The sequence below is a fragment of the Homo sapiens genome, chromosome 10, assembly GCF_000001405.40.
Source record: "Homo sapiens chromosome 10, GRCh38.p14 Primary Assembly".
NCBI lineage: Eukaryota > Metazoa > Chordata > Mammalia > Primates > Hominidae > Homo > Homo sapiens.
Genome location: NC_000010.11, coordinates 45,580,681 through 45,601,199, shown reverse-complemented (window position 1 = coordinate 45,601,199; position 20,519 = coordinate 45,580,681). Strand labels below are relative to the sequence as shown.

Sequence of the window (20,519 nt, the reverse complement as noted above, 5' to 3'; positions counted from 1 at the left end):
CCCAGCTGGCATCACCCAGTGGATCCCACACCAGGGCTGCAGGTGGAGCTGCCTGCCAGTCCCGCGCCGTGCGCCCGCACTGCTCAGCCCTTGGGTGGTCGATGGGACTGGGTGCCCTGGAGCAGGGGGCGGCGCTGGTCGGAGAGGCTCTGGCCGCACAGGAGCCCACGGAGGAGGGGGAGGCTCAGGCATGGCTGGCTGCAGGTCCAGAGCCCTGCCCTGCAGGGAGGCAGCTAAGGCCCGGCGAGAAATGGAGTGCAGCGCCGGTGGGCCGGCACTGCTGGGGGACCCAGCACACCCTCCGCAGCCGCTGGCCTGGGTGCTAAGCCCCTCATTGCCCGGGGCGGCAGGGCCGGCAGGCCGCTCCCAGTGCCGGTCCGCCAAGCCCACTCCCACCGGGAACTCCAGCTGGCCCGCAAGCGCCGCGCGCAGCCCCGGTTCCTGCTCACGCCTCCTCCACACCTCCCTGCAAGCTGAAGGTGCCGGCTCCGGCCTTGGCCAGCCCAGAAAGGGGGTCCCACAGTGCAGTGGTGGGCTGAAGGGCTCCTCAAGCGCCGCCAGAGTGGGCGCCAAGGTCGAGGAGGCGCCGAGAGCGAGCGAGGGCGCACGCTGTCACCTCTCAGAAATGGAAGGAAATGTTCTACTCTTGAGGAGACTAAGGAACAGCAAGGAAGTCAGGTGGCTAGAGCAAAGCAAGTGAGAGGACGATGGGAAATAGGGGCTAGATCATGCAGGACTTAGAGCCAAACACTTCTGGATTTTATTCTGAATTGGGAAAATACTGGGGTTGACATGGTTTTGAAAAGTCACTTTGGCGATTGTGTAGGAAAAAAAAGACTGTAAGGAGGCAAGGATGGAAGTTGAGAGAAATATACAGCAGTCATCCACGTGGGAGATCCTAGGGCTGGGCTGGGCTGTAGCAGCTCCTGGATGATAGTCACATGCTCTCCTTTCTCAAACCACCAGCACCTCTCTCCCTCTTGTCATGCTCAGCTTTTATTTTATTAAACTATCAACAATCGAAGAGAAATTCCACATGATACAGAAACATCGGGGATTCTGTCTAAGTCTTGGTGCTCACTGCTGAGGAAGAAGACTTTAATCAGGTGTTGCAGCCAAGGAGATGGGAGGTCAGTCTCAAATCCATCTCCCTGACTAAAATTTGGGGTTTATATAGCGGGGAAGAAGTGTAACAGTGTGTTAGAAAACACGAACTAGGGAGCGGTAAGGAAACAAAAGGAAGGGTCTGGCATCTCATTGTCTGAATGTGGTAATCTGGTAAGTTTCAATTATTTGATACTTTTTCAGAGGCCAGGGGTCCTTCCCGAGAAAGGAACTCAGATAAAACAAATGTAAGTTTCGAGCTTTAAGAAAAGAAGGGTCACTTTCTATGTTTGGCCAAAAGAACTGTCTATGGGACTATTGGGTCAGTTTCATGTTCAACAACGAATCTACCAAGCTATCTGTATCTGTGGCCTGCTATTCCCCTTCTCTTGTTTTTTCCTTATCTAAGGATGACTCCTCCAATCTACTCAAGATTTTCCTTCTTACAGTTGTCACTTTCTTGTACATCCAGTTATTACAGCATTTGTATTAGCATATAAATATTTAAACAGAAAACCTCAATCCTGCATCTCTTACCTACTATGATCCTATTTCCCTGCTCTCCTTTACAGCAAGAAAGCAATGATTGTATTTACTTGTCGTCACCATCTGTTATCTCAAGAATCAGGCTTTTAATCCTACCACTTTATCTTAATTGCTCTGTTCCCAAGGTCTCAGTGATCTCTACACTGACAGTTCAGAGGTCAATCCTCAACTGACTCAGCCTCTCAGTGCAAATGACACCTTTAGGCACTTGTCTCCTGAAACATTTCTTCACTTGATCAGGACTCCTCTGTTCCAGTTCTCCTCTTAACTCTGATTGCTTCTTCTAAATTTCCTTCTTATCTCTACAGTACCAGATGTCTAGCCTTTCAGTCTCTTCTTTTGCTGCAATTATGCAATTCGGACTTATGAACGTCCTAGATCGGTGACTTTCAATGATTTTCAAACTGTAGGCCACAACTGTTACTGGGTTAAAAAAATCAATTGAGTTCGGAGTGAAAAATTTAAACAGAAGAAATCGTGCATCACACGTAGGAATGGTAAATTTGTTTCTGGAAACTTTTAAATTATATACATGTATTTGGTTAATATGTAAAATGTATTTTGTATTTTGGGTTGAGGTCAAAGATATGAAAATAATTCTCTGTGTGATCTCATCCAATCATGTGGCTTTTTGAATACCACTGCCTAATCTTCAATTTATATCTCTATATCTCTCCTCTGAATTCCAGTCTGGTGAACTCGAGTCTGGTGAAACTATATCTTTATTAAGGTTATTAATAAAAAGGAAAAAGTATTATATCAAGGCAACAACAACAACAACAACAAAAAAAAAGGAAAAGGCATTTAGATTTGGGACCAGGAAACGTGAATTCAATGTTGGCTCTACCACATAGCTTTGCAACACTTTACTAGGTTATTGCTAGTTTCTTCCTTTGTTTGCAAGCTCCCCATTAGTCCTTACATTCATCTATTCTAGTGGGAACACTAGCATATCTGTTGTATTAGATTGGGTGGCATTATAGAGCCATGCACTGTACATTTGCCATATATTTTGTCATACATAACACATTTTATTTTATTTTATTTCGAGATGGAGTTTCAGTCTGTCGCCCAGGCTGGAGTGCAGTGGCGCGATCTCGGCTCACTGCAAGCTCTGCCTCCCAGGTTCACGCCATTCTCCTGCCTCAGCCTCCCGAGTAGCTGGGACTACAGGTGCCCGCTACCACGCCTGGCTAATTTTGTGTATTTTTAGTAGAGATGGGGTTTCACCTTGTTAGCCAGGATGGTCTCGATCTCCTGACCTTGTGTTCTGCCCACCTCGGCCTCCCAAAGTGCTGGGATTACAGGCGTGAGCAACTGCGCCTGGCCAACACATTTTATTTTTTGCAATGAAACTCTTTAAAGAACTAGAACATGGTTGGGCGTCGTGGCTCACACCTGTAATCCCAGTGAGAGGTGAAGCCAGCTGGACTTCCTGGGTCAAGTGGAGACTTGGAGAACTTTTCTGTGTCTAGCTAAAGGATTGTAAATGCACCAATAAGCACTCTGTAAAATGGACCAATCAGTGCTCTGTAAGATGGACCAATCATCAGGATGTGGGCAGGGACAAATAAGGGAATAAAAGTTGGCCACCCCAGCCAGCAGAAGCAACCTGCTCGACTCCCTTTCCACACTGTGGAAGCTTTGTTCTTTTGCTCTTTACAATAAATTTTGCTGCTGCTCGCTCTTTGGGTCCGTGCCACCTTTAAGAGCTGTAACACTCACTGCAGAGGTCCGTGGCTTCATTCTTGAAGTCAGTGAGACCAAGAACCCACCAGAAGGAACCAACCCCGGGCACACCAGCACTTTGAGAGGCCGAGGCGGGCGGGTCACCTGAGGTCAGGAGTTCGAGACCAGCCTGGCCAACATGGTGAAACCCTGTCTCTACTAAACATACCAAAAATTAGCTGGGTGTGGTGGCAGGCGCCTGTAATCCCAGCTACTCAGGAGGCTGAGATGGGAGAATTGCTTGAACCAGATAGGTGGAGGTTGCAGTGAGCTGAGATCGCATCATTGCTCTCCAGCCTTGGCAACACAAGCAAAACTCGTCTCAAACAACAACAACAACAACAACAACAAAACTAGAACATGGTTGATGGGTTGATGTATTTAACCATTTGGTAGGGAGTCAGTGTGACTGGTTCTGGAGATAACACTGATCACTTGGCTCAAGCCTGAATTCTTTCTTATGTCTTCATGTCCCACAAACTGTAGGAGAGGGTAGGTAATTTCCCTATGTGGGCTAAGGCAAAGGAAAGGCAGTGTATTAGGAGTCCCCATTAACACAAGCAGGGAGGATTTGGAATTAAGCTGTTGCCACAAGGCCAGTATGCCTCTTGGAGTGAGCACCTGGTGCCCTATGAGCAATTCCCTTACTGGCTGCCTTACATTCTGAGTGCAACAGTTTCTTCCCAATTGTGCTTTGTTTCCTTGCTGGCAATCCGCCCCCCCCTTTTTTTTTTTTGGAGATGGAGTCTCACTCTGTCACCTAGGCTGGAGTGCAGTGGCATGATCTTGGCTCACTGCAGCATCTGCCTCCTAGGTTCAAGTGATTATCCTGTCTCAGCCTCCCGAGTAGCTGGGATTACAGATACCCGCCACCATGCCTGGCTAATTTTTGTATTTTTAGTAGAGAGGAGGTTTCATGTTGGCTAGGCCACGTTGGCCAGGCCGGTCTTGAACTCCTGAGCTCAGGTGATCTGCCTGCCTCGGCCTCCCAAAGTGCTAGTATTACAGACGTGAGCCACCACGCCTGGCTGGCAATCCCTTCTTGAACTACACTCCAGGTGGCAAGAATCTGGACCCAGGACCTGGACACGTTCAAGTTGTCAGCTCCCTTTCCCTCAGGACTCTGACCTCCTATACTAATACCCCGTCGCCAAAGACCATATTGGTTAACATTTACCCAACACTGTATGTATTGGGCACTTAAAAGTGTTATACAGGCATTACCTCATTTTGTCTCATAACCACTCTATTCAGTAGATATCTTTCAGAAAGCTGAAGAGAGGCTCGGAAAGGTTAAGGAAATTGCCTAGACAGTAATGGTTGCGCCAGGACTCACCCTAGCTTTGTCTCCATGAGTGCTGCTTATCAGCCCTGCATAGCTCACAGATCCCTGTTGAACTACGAAGGTTCTGCCGCTTCCTGTAGAAGGATGACAGGATTCCATATCCATTCATCAGTCAGCCAACCCTTTGGCTCAACAAGCCTGGTCTAGGCATAAGCTATACCAATGGAAGATATTGGTACTACCTTCATGGAACACCTGCTGCCAGAAGCAGTAGAGCCAACCAGGTTGTGGCAACTGGCCTTGATAACCTATTTTCCACAGTAAAAGACAAATGGAGAAAATTCATCATTTTTCTGCTCTTTGTAATACTGTATTGTAAGTGTGTTATAGAAATGGAGATGTTTTGACCTTGCTGATCCAGAGGATATCTTGAGCACACTGTTTTGAACCTGACAATCTGCTTTTTACTTAGCCAAAAATTCAAAGTGGTCAGAATTGTAGGGAGGAATTGATTAGCTATATGATAGATCACTCCGGGACAACAGAACAACTATGGAATATTTGAGAGGATTTGCTTATAATTCACTCATGAATTTACTAAGAAATACAAATTATTCATCTTTTATGCATGATTATGGGAGAAATAAAACTGGCAGTGGTTGAAACTATTTCTGGGAAGTTTGATGTAGGAAAATTGGATTTGGTAGACAGTGATGAAAGTGACAGAGGAATAATGAGAGTTTTATGTGGACAAAAGATGAATGCAGAGTCTGGCCCGGTGCAGTGGCTCATGCCTGTATTCCCAGCACTTTGGCAGGCAGAGGCAGGCGGATCACGAGGTCAGGAGATTGAGACCATCCTGGCTAACACGGTGAAACCTCGTCTCTACTAAAAACACAAAAAAATAGCCGGGCGTGGTGGCGGGCGCCTGTAGTCCCAGCTACTGGGGAGGCTGAGGCAGGAGAATGGCGTGAACCCAGGAGGTGGAGCTTGCAGTGAGCCGAGATCGTACCACTGCACTCCAGCCTGGGCTACAGAGTGAGACTCCGTCTCAAAAAAAAAAAAAAGAGATGAATGCAGAATCAAATATTTAGACGTCTGTATGTACACAGAGATGATTCCCCCATAAAAATTAAAATACAACTTAAAAGTAAGAAGTCGTATAAACCTCCTTCACGTGCTTTCTCTGGCTGAGAGGCTATGCTGTGGGAATCTTTCAGTCCAGATTAGGGAGCGAAAGCAAACAAAAATCTGTCAAGGCAAAAACCGTTATTACTTATTCCTTCGCTTTTCCTCCCGTTTGATAGCCTCAGGTAAGAAAGTATTTTCCATCTTCTTCTCCAAGTAAAACATCCTTTTGCCAGACAAAATTTCCTTTTCCTTCCAAAACACTAATATTAATAACATGTAGTCAGGGCCAGGAGACACTAAACGACACACACAGAGCTGGGGAAGTCTTTTCGGTTCCAAGCCCAGTGGGTTGTCGCCTGGGCACTGCGAAGGGGTGGAAGCACAGAAAGGCCGCGCGGCGGCACCCGCTGCAGCCCGCCCCCAGCGCGCTGCAGTCGCCGGGGCAACGCCTCCACCCAACTCGGCCGGACACGTGACGCCCGCGTCACGTGACCTGCCACTCGGTGTCCTCCCGCGGAGGGGCGTAGGGTGTAAACAGGCGACGCGCTGGGGGAGGTGCGGCCTTGCTGCGTCCACGTCTCGGGCATGCTCGAGGCGGGCCAGGGCGGTAGCGCCGCCAGCTCAGAGCCCACCTGAGGTAACTCCTGCGGCCTCTAGGATCGGAGTCCCCCACGCCGCGCGCAGCCGCCGCCGCTGGCCGCCAATAAGGGCGGCCGAGCCCCCGGCCCGGGCAGGGGGTGTGGCTGCCGGCAGCGCGTCGGCTACAGGTGGGCTGGGCTGGGCTGGGCTGGGCTGGGCTGGGTGGGGGCGGCCGCCAAGGACCCATCCCTGCGCTGCGGGCCCGGCGTGGAGCCCGCGGAGAGGCAGCGCGACTCCAGGCAGTGGGTCTCTCTGCCCCGGTGCTCGCGTCTGCCCCTGGGGCCGGGCCGAGCGGAACCAGGAATCGCAGAAACGGTCAGCGCCCAGGGCTCTAGGCCGGCCGCCCCGGGTGCCAGGTGAATTCCTTTCCCTGACCGGCTGTGAGACGTTGGCCCGTCAGCCGTCGTCTTTGGCCTGAGTGTGCACATCTGTAAAATGGAAGCTCGGACTAGTGATCCGTGAGGACCTTCCACGTCTGACGTGTGATCTCGAGAGACCTGCGTACATTCGGGGTGCCAGAAGGAAAGCATAGGTAACTATTTTGTCCTTTAATTGCTAACTTTTCTTTGGTCTTTAAATCTGTTTTCATCTTAAACGATTCGTATTCCTGTCCACCTGGGTGAAGTTTTTAATAGAAAACTTATTGGGTGGGGGTTATAATGGTTTATGTTACCGTTTTCATGTTTCTTTAATGCAACAAAACCTTTTTTTCTTAAAACCTATTTGGAAGCCCAAATTGTAAAAATAAATAAATAAAAATGGAACCCTTTTCTGCCTCACTATCACTATTCTCACCACCCATCCCCACGCTAACTACCCTTGAGGACCCCTGCAAGTCATAGGTTGAGGAGCTCTGTATGGAGTTGAGGAAATGTTTTGTGTATTTTTTAATTTGATGGGATCTGGAAAATGAATTCTTTGCATGTGTGGAGTTTTCTGTTATTTTTCTCTTTATTTTGTTCGATTGCATGCTATGTAATTAGACAGCTAGCATAACCCTCACATACCATACTTCGGGGCCTTTTTGGCCCCAAAATTTCTGATAAAGACGTTTCTCTTTCCATGTTTCCTTGCATCCCAGTCCCTGGGGAAGTAAGTGTATGTTTATAATAGTGAGACTTCATTCCTCATTGCTGATTTAGTTGCTCCGATACAGAATGGGAATGGGAGACTTTTGAGGCCAACCGAATGGGTTAGGACATATCTGAAAAACATGAAAACGCTAAAAAGCATGAAAACTGAAGGAGTATACGAACTCAAGTCGTTGAGAGTCATGAAATAATGTGAACATGCTCTTGTGTGAAATCTTGAGACCCTGGAGCAAGAGAATTTTGGATTTTGAGAGAACTGAGTTCAGGAGAGAAGGATGTCCTGTTTCATATGGTGAGTGAAAATATAAACAGTATGAGGTGGTAGTGTGTAGACAAAATTATCAGGTTTTTTTTTTTTAAGAGTAGCACATAGTTTCCTAATTGATTTTGGAGACTAGGGTTTTAAGAGATGTACTGAAACTTGAAGTTTAATGTTACAAGAGGGAAACCATACTCTTTTACACCTTGTCTGCTTGGTGCTTCTGTGAGTTGAGCAAGAATTGGAAGTGGAATGTACTGTAAGTGGTACCCAAGGTGACCTAGTGGAAAGGTTTTCTCTTTTCAAAACCAACTTACTTCCCTGATCTTTGGCTTAAGCTTAAGCAAGTCAGTTCCTTTCTTTGGTTCTCAGTTTCTGCTGAAAAATGAGGAAATTGGATTGATTACTATTCTACCTTTTGGCTCCAGCTAGGTTTGCCAGATAAAATACAGGATGCCTAGTTGATATGAATTTCAGATAAACAGTGAATTTTTGTAAAATTTTTAAAATAAATTTTTACTATAAATATTACGTGGGAGCATACTTGTACTAAAAAAAAGATTCGTTGTTTGTCTGAAATTAAAGTGTAACTGGGCTTGCTGTATTTATATTTCCTAAATCTGGCAGCCTTAGCTCCAACATTTTTGTCTCCTTTAAATTAGTGCCAGCTCAAAGCAGAGCTGGGAATGAATTGATTCAAGCAGCCAAGAAACCCTAATGGTTGTCAGTAGTAGCGTCTGGTTCTTGAGGGTTGTCGTTGATTCACTTGTGGTTTGTTTCTTTTTCCCTTATGTAGTAGTTCCATTTCTGCTATAATCACATAATGTTTAGGTTTATACTTCTGGTGGTAAGTAGTTTAAAATATCTGAAAGCAAGTTAAAAATATTGCTGAAATTTCTAAAAGTAACCTCATTTTTTCGAGCCTTGAAATGGTATGTGCTTTTTCCCCCCCGTAAAAGACACTTTACAACCCTACCTGTTCCCTAGGTTTGTGGTTGACTGCAAGACATTTTCTAAAGCCGTGGACTGTTCTGATGCCAAGTAATCAGGAAGTTATTCTTATGGCTTCTAATTTTGTTCCCTGTGAATATGAAAAATTATCACTGTATACACTATAAACATTTTATATTTTATCTGACTGTTGTCAGCTTTGTCTTTGCTGTATTGAAGGGTTTTCAATTTTGAAATTCTTTTTCAAGGAGTGTAATTTTAAACTCTTTCTTTCTTTCTTGTCCAGACCAATTTCTTAACTCACTTGGAAATGCCTGAATTTTCTAATTCATTTTTTAAATCAATAGTCAACAAAAAATTTGGTGTGTTTGGAGAGCCAGGTTGATGATGTGACTGGTGTTCTAGTTCTCCAGGTGCTAATTTCTGATAGAGGAGTTAAAACGTGTAATCTGAGGATAATATGATGAAGGCTTTGAAGAGGTACAAATGCTATGGAAATTGAGAGGAAGGATGGGTGCCCTTCAGATTGATATATGGAAGAAAATCTCTGGAGGAGGTAGAAGTGGATTCTGGACATGGAAGTAGAGGTGGGATCAGGAAGACAGAGGTGGACAGAACGGTGGAAAGAAGTGGATAAGGGCAAGGAATCTGTCTTCTCAGTTCTACAAAGCATACACTTTGCTGGATTTAAAATACTTTACAATATTGTGTATGTGTGGTGTTTGGTTCACTGTGATGCTCTCATCTCCTTTATATTTACTTTGAACTGCTCTGGTGTCTTTCTGTATTAGAAAGACCTTCAGTTGTCAGTGAAGCTCTTTGAAAAAATGTTTATTAAATGTGTCACGCATATAAGAGTATGTATTGAAAAAAGTAGAATATTACCAATAGCATTGAGACCTCCTGTGTACTTCTTCCTTCCTCTCAAAGGTAACCAGCATGCTGAATTCTGTGTCTGTCATTTCTTTGCTTGCTGCTGCTGCTGCTTTTTTTTTTTTGAGACAGAGTTTTGCTCTGTCACTCAGGCTGGATGGAGTGCAGTGGCACCATCTTGGCTCACTGCAACTCTGCCTCCTGGGTTGAAGCAATTCTCCTGCCTCAACCTCCCAAGTAGCTAGGACTATGGGCACACGCCACCATGCCCTACTAATTTTTGTATTTTTGTAGAGACAGGCTTTCACCATGTTGGCCAGACTGGTCTGTGTCTCAGGCGTCCATGTGAAGAGACCACCAAACAGGCTTTGTGGGAGCAGCAAGGCTGTCTGTTTCACCTGGGTGCAGGCAGACTGAGTCCGAAAAGAGAGTCAGCAAAGGGTGGTGGATTATCATTAGTTCTTATAGGTTTCTCAACACCTATAAGGTGGTGGAGTTAGGAGCAATGTTTTGCGGGCAAGGGGTGGAACTCACAAAGTACATTCTCAAGGGTGGGGAGAATTACAAAGAACCTTCTTAAGGGTGGGGGAGATTACAAAGTACGTTTATCAGTTAGGGTGGGGCAGAAACCAATCACAATGGTGGAACGTCATCAGTTAAGACTATTTTCACTTCTTTTGTGGATCTTCAGTTGCTTCAGGCCATCTGGATGTATAAGTGCAGGTCACAGGGGATATGTTGGCTTAGCTTGGGCTCAGGCCTGACAGTCTTAGACTCCTGACCTCAAGTGATCTGCCTGCCTTAGCCTTCCAAAGTGCTGGGATTGCAGGTATAAGCCACTGCGCCTGGCCTGCTTTCTTGATAATGTTATTTTACGTTGTATATGTATATCCCCCCAAAATATTGTTTGCTTATGCATATTTTTAAACTTTATATAAATGGCATCATGCTATGTGGACTTTTTTTCCTGCAACTTTTTAAATTAGTTACTAAGTTTCATCCATGTTTTTCTTCAAAGGTAAGAATTTCTCTGGAATATACATCTAGGATTGGAGTTGTTGTTTGTCAGGTGCGTACACCAGTAACTACTAGATACAAATTGCTTTCCAATGTAGCTGTACGGTTTTATTGTCCTACAAGCAGTGGGAGAGTTCCTGTTTTTATCCTGTCTACATGCTCCCCAGTGTTTGGTATGAGAAAACCATGTATCTATTAAAGGTCTAGTATCCAGAGTAAGTATCCAGAGTATTTAAGGAACTCTTATACCTCAGTCATAAAAAGAAAAGGAACTCAAAAAAATCGACAAAGGATTTGAATAGGCAGTTCTTCAGATAAGACATACAAATAGCCAGTAAGCACATGAAAAGATGTTTTACATCATTAGCTACCATGTAAATGGAAATCAAAACCACAGTGAAATACCATGTTACACCAACGAAGTAACTAAGACGGTTACTAAGTGACTGTCTAAGTGACCATCTTAGTAAACTAAGATGGCTATGTATAATAAAAAAGACAGGTAATAATAAGTGTTGGTGATGTTGTGGAGAAATTGGAATCTACATGTTGGAATGTAAACTGGAGCAACTGCTTTGAGAAACAGTCTGGCAGTTCTTGAAATGGCTAGATTTGGGATAAGGGATGATAAAGCAGTTCCACTCCTAGGTATATACCCAAGAGAAATGAAAACATATATTTATGCCAATATTTGTATGTACATGTTCACAGTAGCGGTAGCCATAATAGCCAAAAAGTTGAAACAACTCAAACATATATCAACTGATGAATGGTTTAAATAATGTGGTCTATCCATGCAGTGGACTATTATTCAGGAATAAAAAGGAATGAAGTACTGACTCATGCTACAAATGGATGAACCTTGAAAACATTCTAAGTGATAAAAGAAACAGTCACAAAAGGCAACACATTGTGTGATTACATTTATATGGAATGTCCAGAATACAAATATAGAATTAGATAGTAGATTACTGGTTGCCTAGAACTGGTGTTGGGGTAGGGGGTGGGGAAAAATGGGGGTTTGACAGCTAAAGAGGACTAGGTTTCTTTTTGGGGTGATAAAATATTCTAAAATTGATTGTGGTGATGGTTGTACAGTTCTGTGCATTTGCTAAAAACTATTGAATTGCACACCTGCAAAAAAGCTATTAGTGGAAAGAAGGAAATTTTTTTTAACAAAGATGCCATGTTGTATGCCTCCTGGAGAATCCTAGGTGGTAGGGACTGAGACTTGCTTATAGCCATGTGACTGAGATGGGAACCATATCCTTTTAATACATGGAGGCCTTCAGAGGATCCCACAGCTTGGCCAGCAGCTTGACTGCAACCCCATGATAGACTTTGACCCAGAAGTACCCAGCTAAGCTGTGCCTAGATTTCTGGCCTATGGTAACTATGAGGTAATAAATGTCCATTGTTTTAAACTACTGAGTTTTGGGTTAACTTGTGTGCAACAGTAAACACTCATAAGCAGCAGTGTTGCAATGTGTATTTTTTAAATTTTAGTTTTCTGGAAAACTATGGTGATTAAATTACTAAATTATAATATGGATTCTTTTTTTTTTTTTTTTTTTTTTGAAACGTAGTCTTGCTCTGTCACCCAGGCTGGAGTGCAGTGGCGTGATCTTGGCTCACTGCAAGCTCCACCTCCCATGTTCATGCCAGTCTCCCTGCCTCAGCCTCCTGAGTAGCTGGAACTACAGGCACCTGCCACCATGCCAGGCTAATTTTTTGTATTTTTAGTAGAGACGGGGTTTCACTGTGTTAGCCAGGATGGTCTCGATCTCTTGACCTCGTGATCCACCCACCTTGGCCTCCCAAAGTGCTGGGATTACAGGCATGAGCCACTGCACCCGGCCTATAATGGATTCTTTTATTCATTATTTTGTTAACCACAATTCATAACCAATAGTCAATGATACATTTATTGAGATATCCTGCCAATTATTGGGGATAAATTATACTTAAAATGGCTAAAATTTCTTTTATTACAGTTTGAAAAAATGTGTAATCTCTGTATAATACAAGTCTTTATCAACCAAAACAGGCAATTTTAAGACAATATAGCAGTACATAACATTTCACATATTGGTATGGTTTTCTGGTAACTTTTATATTTAAAACATAAGTGGTATTAATATGTTGGGAGATTTATTTATTTATGACTTCAGCAAAGGCACTCAAAAAAGAATCATCAAGGCAAAACTACCGTCTCATAGAAGCCAACCCGTTCTTGTAGGAACTATATGAAAGGAGGTTAAAAAGATTTTTGTTCTTTTCCTTTGAATATTTCTGTTCTTCAGTTGAAGAAATGTTGTATGACTGTATGGATAAGGAAAGTGTTTCGAAATTTCATTTAAGAAATGAAGACATGTTTTCACAGTTTGTAAGGATTTTCTTTTTTTTTTTTTACTTTTGACAAAATGAAAAAATATATTTATTAGCATGTAAGGATAGCTGAAATATTGTGTGAAAAAAAGCCTACTGAATTTTCTCCTATGTTCTAGAGGTTTTATAGCTCCACTATTAAGGTTCATGATCAATTTTTAGGGGTTGATAGGGTGTTTGGTATGAGCTATGGGTCTAGGTTCTTTACTTTCCTTTATGAATACACAGTTTTTTAATTTTAATTTTATTTTTTGTCCGAGGAGGCCTTGGGCTCAAGCTAGCTGGTCTAATATACATTTTTTAATATCATTTGTTGAAAAGGTAATTCTTTCCCTATTGAGTTTCTTCCCCTTTCTCTATCCTTTGCCCATTGAGTTCTCTTGGCATTTTTGTTGAAAGTCAACTGGTGATGTATGTGTGGATCTGCTTTTGGACTCTCTCCTGTTGCTTTTGCTGTCTGTTCTTATGTCGGTACCATATTATCTTTATCTATAACTTTATATGAGGTTTGAAATTGGTTAGTGTAAATCCTCCAACTTTGTTCCTTATTTTCAAAAATTTTCTGGGTATTATAGGTCCTTTGTGTTTTCAAAAGTATTTTAAAATCAGCTTGTTAGGTTTTTTAAAAAAGAAAACAACTTGTGGTTTCAATTGGGATTGTCTTGGTTCTATAGATCAGTTTGTGGAGAATTGCTATTTTAATGTCATCGAACCTTTCAATACATGAACATGGTATAGCTCTCCATTTATTTAGTTCTTTAATTTCTTGCAACATGTTTTTTAGTTTTGCAGTGTACAGGTCCTATGCATATTTTGTTGAATTTATATCTTAATATCTTACATTTTTAATGTCATTGTAAATAGGATTAAAAAATCATTTCTCAAGTATTCCTTGCTAATGTGTAAAAATACAGCTGATTTTTGTATATTGTCTTTGTGTCTTGTAGCCTTTCTGAATCCACTTACTAGTTCTGGTAGTCTTTTGGTTGGATTTTCTCCACATACAGTCATTGAATAAAGACAGTTTTACGTCTTCCTTTCCACTCATGTGCTTTCTATTTCTTTTTCTTGCCTTATGACACTGATGAGGACCTCAAGTCCAATATTATGATAGAAGTGGTGAGAGCAGATGTCCATGTCCTGTTGTCAATTTGAGGGAGAAAGCATTTAGTCTTATATGTGGTACAAAAAGCACTAACTACAACATTTTAAAAATGTTAAATTGGACTTAATAAAATTAAAACGTATGCACTTTAGGAGATGTTAAGGAAAAGAAACAGTATACTATAGACTGGGAGCAAATGTTGGCAATTTATGTATCTGACAGAGGACTTTTATCCAGCATATATAAAGAACTTCAGTAAATTAAGAAGAAGCTAGAGAACTCAAATTGCAAAATCGGTAAAAAAAAAATTTGTGGAGCAACTTCACAAAATAAGGTATTTGAAATTCTAGTAGACATACTAAAAATTCCCAATATATTTATTAAAGGAAATTATGAGCAACTTTTTGCCTACAAGAAGGGTCAAAATGAAAAAGACTAACAATACCAAGTGTTGGTGAGGATGTAGAGCAATCAGAATTTTACATAAATTGCTGATAGGAATGTACAGGCACTTTGGAAAACTGTTTGACAGTTTCCTATTAACTTAAACATGCACTTACTGTATGACCTAGACATTTACACCCCTGGGTGTAAAATAAAACCTTAAATTCACAAATGACTTGTACTCAGTGCTTAACACCGGAAAGAGTATAATCTTTCAACAAGTCTGCAATGGGATATTAGGAGAAAAAAGGAGTGAATTGCACAGTGTCACTATATGAAATTAAAAACATTATGCTGAGCAAAAGAAGCCAGACAAAACACTACATTCTGTATGATTTGATTGATGTGTAATTCTAGAACCACCAAAACATTAAGAGAGCAGATTAGTGGTTGCCTGAGGTTATAGGTAGGGGTGGGGAATGACTGCAGAGGAGCAAAAGAGAACTTTCTGTGGTGATGGAATTACTCTGTATTTTGATTGGGTGGTGGTTATACTACGTATACACTTTTTATACACTTTTGTCAGAACTTCACATTATGCTTAAGATGGGTGCATTTTATTTTATGTAAATTATGTCTTAATAGAGTTGTTTTTAAAAAGGGTCTAAAAAGCATTTACAGACTGAACATATACCTATGTGTATATATACTGAGATTTTATGTAAAATATTTAAATGTATGTATACTCATAGGAAATGTCTAGAAGGATGTTAAGCAAATTGTTACTAATTATGTCCAGGTGGTGAGAATTTTAGGTGATTAAAAAAATGATTGGACTCTTTATATCATTTGAATTATTCCTTTCAATGAACACATCTTTGCCAAAGAAAAGAAGTTTTTTTTGTTATGTAGAAGTTTGATTATCTAGATGTTTTCATTTTTCAAATATTGAATAGATATTACAATATTTATAAATTATGTATAGAATGTAAGTGCTGTTATTCTGTAATCACCAGTTAGGAACAATCTACATTACTTTTGATGCCCTTCATCTCTCTTCTCTGATCCCATTCTGTTATGTTCCCAGAGACATAACTGCTACCCTGAATTTTGTTTTTATTATTTCATTGCTATAGTTTTACCACATTTGTATCTCTAAGCTGTGTTGTTTTGCCCTGCATGCTGTTGAACTTTATGACTAGAATTGTATTGTGGGTAAACTTCTTTCATTTGCTTTTTTATTCCGTATGAGATTTGAGACTCATTCATATTTTTGTATGGCCGTAGTTCATTGGTGTCTCCTTGTCTTATTGTGTTACATTATGAATATTCCACAATTTGTCCTTTGTAGTACTGATGAATGACTGGATTGTCCATTTTTTTTCTATCATGAGCAGTGGTGATGTGAACATTGTGCATGTCTTTTTATGCTCTTGGGCAAGAGTTTCTCTTTGTGTATGGTCAGGTGTATAGCTGCTGGGTTGTAGGATAATGCATTTCTTCAACTTTTCTAGAAGTAGTAGTTTTCTGTTGCTGTGTAACTAATTACCACAAACTTAGAGGCTTAAAACAACACACATTTTAAAATCTCATGGTCCTATAGGTCAGAAATGCAGTAGGCTTGGCTGGGTTATCTGCTCTGGGTCTTAGGAGGCTGAAATCAAGTTGTCAGTAGGACTGCATTCTTTTCTGGAGGCTCTGGAGATAAATCAACTCCCACACTTATTTGGGTTGTTGGTAGAATTCAGTTCATATGGTTGTAGGACTGAGGTCCATGTGTCCTTGCTGGATGTTAGCTGATGGTCGTTCTCAGCTTCTACAGGCCATACATTTCTTGCCTTGTGATCCTCTTTCTTTCTTCATCTTCAAAGCCGGCAATAGGAGGTTGAATCTCTCTCATGCTTTGAATCTCTCTGACTCATATTTTTTTCCTTCTCTAGATGGAGACCATTCTCTGCTTTTAAGGGCTCATATGATTTGATTGGGTCCACTGGGATAATCTAGATTACTCTATTTTATCTCCGTGGTCCTTTCACAGCTATACTCAAATTAGTGTTTGAATAACCAGGGGCAGGAATCTTGGAGGACTATCTTTAGATTTCTGACTACCACTGTATATAATGTTGTTTTCCATAGTGGTGGTACCAGTATGCATTTACCTTAGCAGACATTGGAGTTCTTGTTCCATGTCCTTAATATTGTCACTTAATATTGTCAGATATTTAGGCTGAGAAGTGGTATCTCATGGTGTTTTTAATCTGTGGGTCCATAATCTGTGGGTCCATATTTATCCATAAGTAAAGATAGTTTTATTTTGTTGCTTTTTAAAAAGTTTTACATAAATAATTTTATTCTGTATGTATTCTCTAACATGTGAGATTTTCCCTCAGATTTGTGCTTTTGTGGTTTGAGTTTTAATAACTACTGTATGGTGTTTTATTGTATGAATAGATCACAATTTGTTCATTCTTTCATTGATGAAAATTTAGATTGTTTCTTAGTTCTTGTGAATGTGTGAGAGAATTTCTTGATATATATATATATATATATATATATATATATATATATATATGATTGTATATATGTTGGTAGAATCTAGAAGTGGAAATCATGTGCATCTTCCCTGTTTTACTATATAGACTTACAAAAAGTAGATTCTTTCCTTTCCTCCTTTTTTTTTTTTTTTTTTTTTGGAAATGAAGTCTCGCTCTGTCACCCAGGCTGGAGTGCAGTGGCACGATCTTGGCTCACTGCAACCTCCGCCCCTCCAGGTTTAAGCAATTCTCTGCCTCAGCCTCCGGAGTAGCTGGGATTGCAGGCGCGTGCCATCACCTTCCCTCCATTCTTTTTTGCTTTCTTTTGTTACTGCTTTTATCCAATCTGACAAGCATATGTCTTTATTGTCTTTAAAAGAGCTACACAGGTAATGTCACAATGCTAAAAAAGTCAAATACTGTAAGTACATAAAGAAAAAGTCTCATCTAGTTATACTGGGTATTTTAATAAAAGTAGCATCATACTACATACTATATTTTGAAATATGCTTTTTCACCTAGATCAATACATACAGATCCGCATTCTTTTAATAATGATGTAGTATTCCTTTGCAGGTTGAGTTTTATTTACTATTCTATACTTAGTACCTAGCAATCAATAAATATTTGTGGGATGAGTGTGAAGAATATATGGGTACATATATTCATGAATTATTCAGCCCTTCCCCTGTTAGTTGATATTTAGTGTGCTCTGATTTGTATCTTTTAAAATGGTGTCACAGTGATCATTCTCATATATATATCTTTGAACATTTATGGGTGTATTCTTAGTCTAGAGCCCTAGAAGTGGAATTGCCTGGTCAAAGGAGATTTAAATTGGATAGTGGCAATTGGTTGTCCCGTTTTTATTTCAGTCTGTACTCCCACTAATGGTGTTTTGGTGTTCTTTCCCCTATTCACTTGCCTACAACATTATCTATTACCGATCCCTTATTTTTCTGTATCTTAAAATTAATGTTGAAATTTTTATCAAAATAATACTTGGACATTGTTTAAAAATAGCGAGCATAAAGTCTTGCAATGAAAAATAGAGGCAAACTCTATTCTTGTTATAATACCTATTTTTAATATTTCTAAACATTTTATTCCACTGTTATTTGTTTATCCACTTTAAATATTATGCATTGCCTTCCCAGTTTGATAGGTGAGGATTTGGACATCTTAAACTCCTCATTTACCATTTCCCACTCTCTGACTGTGGTTACATCCGTATTTTTAGTGAAATCAATAAGAAATATTTAGTTAGTGACAACTTAACTATTCATCTGCAAAGCCAGGTAGTAGTCTATGACTACATTTCCTTTCTTATGTATTTTTTAAGTTAAGTTACCTAGTTTTTTTCACCTGCATCACTTTTTAATACAGATTCTTGGTAGATGGATCATCTTTTCTCTCAGTATTTATATTTTTATAAAACAAAAACTGTCAATCCTTTCACACAACATCTGTACAACTTGATACAGTTCTGAGGGGCGAAAGAGTTAGGAAACTTGAATTCTGCTCCTGACTTTTCTGAATAGCTTGACCTCTGGCAAGCAGCCTTGCCTCACCTCTCTCTGCCTTGTTTACTCATTTATAAAAATGGGATTGGGTTTGAACTGGCTGGTCTCTGATTCCTTTCAGTTCTGCCATTCTGGTTTTTTTGGTCTCCTGTTTAATCTTAATTGTATCACTTAAATAGCTAACTGTAACAGCTTGTGGGGGGAGTGCATTTTACAACTTGGAGAAGAAAAAGGCTTGGATGAGAAAGACAAGATAATATGGAAACTTGAAGGGCTGCTGTATAGAGAATAATTAGGCTGGTTTCATGTGATTCAAAACTAATAGCTGTAGTTGAACGGGAGGTGCTCTGGATTCAGCATAATGGACACACTCCTAACAGTTAATTCCTGTCCAACATTGAAGGGGGCCACCTTAAGTGGTGGGTATTTCCTAACACTGAAAGGACAGAGGTCAAGGTAGATAGGCAAAATGATGCTTTAGAGACAGGTTGAAGTTATTTAAGTCCCAGCCAGCCAGGGATAGTACTGGATGGCTTCTCTAACCTTTTGGCCTCCCATAGGTGGACATTATGGCATGATAAGGTTGTTAAAATAATTTTAAAAAACATATTGTGGCGTGACTCATTGGTCATTACTTTAACCAAATTATAATAATGATGATTCATATACTTTTTTGAAAATCTGCTTTTTTTTTTTTTTTGGTTGAAGTGCCTAAGTACTGTTCTCAGTTTTGAAAATGTTACTCCTTTAAGTCTTGTGTAGTTCTTGATGATTCATCTGGGAAAGCAGCCCTTTTCTTCTTTTTGAGTGATCTTTGAAAGCTTGACACTTTCCCCGTAAACTAAGCTGGGAACTTTGAGTTTGAGTTTTTAGTTGCCACAACTGTGGGGGTGCTAATGGCACCTAGTAGGAAGGGCCTGTTGAGATACACAGCTAAATTAAATTTGTCATTGATTATGTGGGTGTGTTGCCAAGTTTTCTGGAGATGTTTACCAGTCTGGGCAATTTTGATAGTATTATCTTCTTACAGTTTCTGCTGTGAAGCAGTCTTTGAAGAAATATAAGATATTTATAGGAGCAAGCCCTTGGGGAAAAAAGCATTCTTACTAGTTTTATTTGATTAATTAATTAATTACAATGCCCTCATTCCCAATTCTTGAGGTAGAATTTTGATCACCTTAGCATCTGAGTGAGGAGGTAATGTGTGTGTTTACATTTCCTGAACTACCTCAGGTCTCCTCTAACCACTGGGTGTCTTGTTCCTGCTGAATTGTACTGTGCAGTAGACTCCACTGTATTAGTGGATGCATCAGTCTGTGGTAGGATTTCTTGACCTTAGCTCTGCTGACAGTTGGGGTTGGATAATTCTTTGTTGTGGGGAACTGTTCTGTGTATTGTAGGATGTTCAGTAGCATCCCTGGCCTCTTCCTACTAGGTGCCATTAGCACCACCACAATTGTGGCAACTAAAAATATCTCCAAGACACTGGCAAAATCCCCTGGGGTGATAAACTGCCCCTGTTGAGAACCACAGACTTACGAATACCGCTCAGCTGGTCCTCTGCCATGGTTAAGGTCTTCCTACTCTTGTCTGGTTTCTCCGTGTTCCCAGCCTTGCTCACAGCCTCCTCTTACCTGACTGTGCTCTGCTTAGCTAATTAGGCAGAAAGTTGCCAAGTAGAAGGTGGAATCAGTGGGGAATAGGGCAGAGCTGGAGTCAGGTGTGGCCCTGGGTAGGGGCTAAGCTCTGGCAGCACACAGATGGGTGTGTTTTTTTGTGGTAGCTAAGATTAGACTGCTAAAGCAAATGATCTTTGACATGAAAATAAACTGACAATACCACCGGTGGTCCTAGCGCACAATACTAATCAGGTATGTGGTATCTTTATATTGTCTCAAGCCTGCCTTGGAGTCTGTTGTTAACGAAAGCTCCAAGCATGTTTCCTCCTTAATGTTTTTATT

The 20,519-nt window shown here is 41.0% G+C and overlaps 1 protein-coding gene across 12 annotated transcripts in view, besides 4 other annotated features; it reads left to right on the top strand.

Moving 5' to 3' along the window:
- Positions 6,127 to 6,196: a silencer, noted in NCBI's record as "silent region_2346". NCBI's record gives its function as "represses an Ori minimal core promoter by ATAC-STARR-seq in GM12878 lymphoblastoid cells {active_cell/tissue: GM12878}" and the evidence as "EXISTENCE:reporter gene assay evidence [ECO:0000049][PMID:35858748]".
- MARCHF8 (membrane associated ring-CH-type finger 8) overlaps positions 6,293 to 20,519 on the top strand; it is a 140,323-nt gene continuing 126,096 nt past the window's right edge. For 4 of the 12 annotated variants that reach the window (XR_007061947.1, NM_145021.6, NM_001401646.1 and 1 more), the window contains exon 1: positions 6,293 to 6,965. The gene's annotated coding sequence lies outside the window, so the exon portion shown is untranslated. Of the gene's footprint in view, positions 6,966 to 7,575; positions 7,817 to 10,625; positions 10,677 to 20,335; positions 20,430 to 20,519 lie in introns of those variants that run through there. The other 8 variants (XM_047424766.1, XM_047424767.1, XM_047424763.1 and 5 more) reach the window with 4 other exon arrangements.
- Positions 6,477 to 6,636: a silencer, noted in NCBI's record as "silent region_2345". NCBI's record gives its function as "represses an Ori minimal core promoter by ATAC-STARR-seq in GM12878 lymphoblastoid cells {active_cell/tissue: GM12878}" and the evidence as "EXISTENCE:reporter gene assay evidence [ECO:0000049][PMID:35858748]".
- Positions 6,737 to 6,806: a silencer, noted in NCBI's record as "silent region_2344". NCBI's record gives its function as "represses an Ori minimal core promoter by ATAC-STARR-seq in GM12878 lymphoblastoid cells {active_cell/tissue: GM12878}" and the evidence as "EXISTENCE:reporter gene assay evidence [ECO:0000049][PMID:35858748]".
- Positions 9,598 to 10,098: an enhancer, noted in NCBI's record as "H3K27ac hESC enhancer chr10:46086550-46087050 (GRCh37/hg19 assembly coordinates)". NCBI's record gives its function as "activates a minimal SCP1, AML or CMV promoter by ChIP-STARR-seq in primed H9 embryonic stem cells {active_cell/tissue: H9 hESC(primed)}" and the evidence as "EXISTENCE:reporter gene assay evidence [ECO:0000049][PMID:30033119]".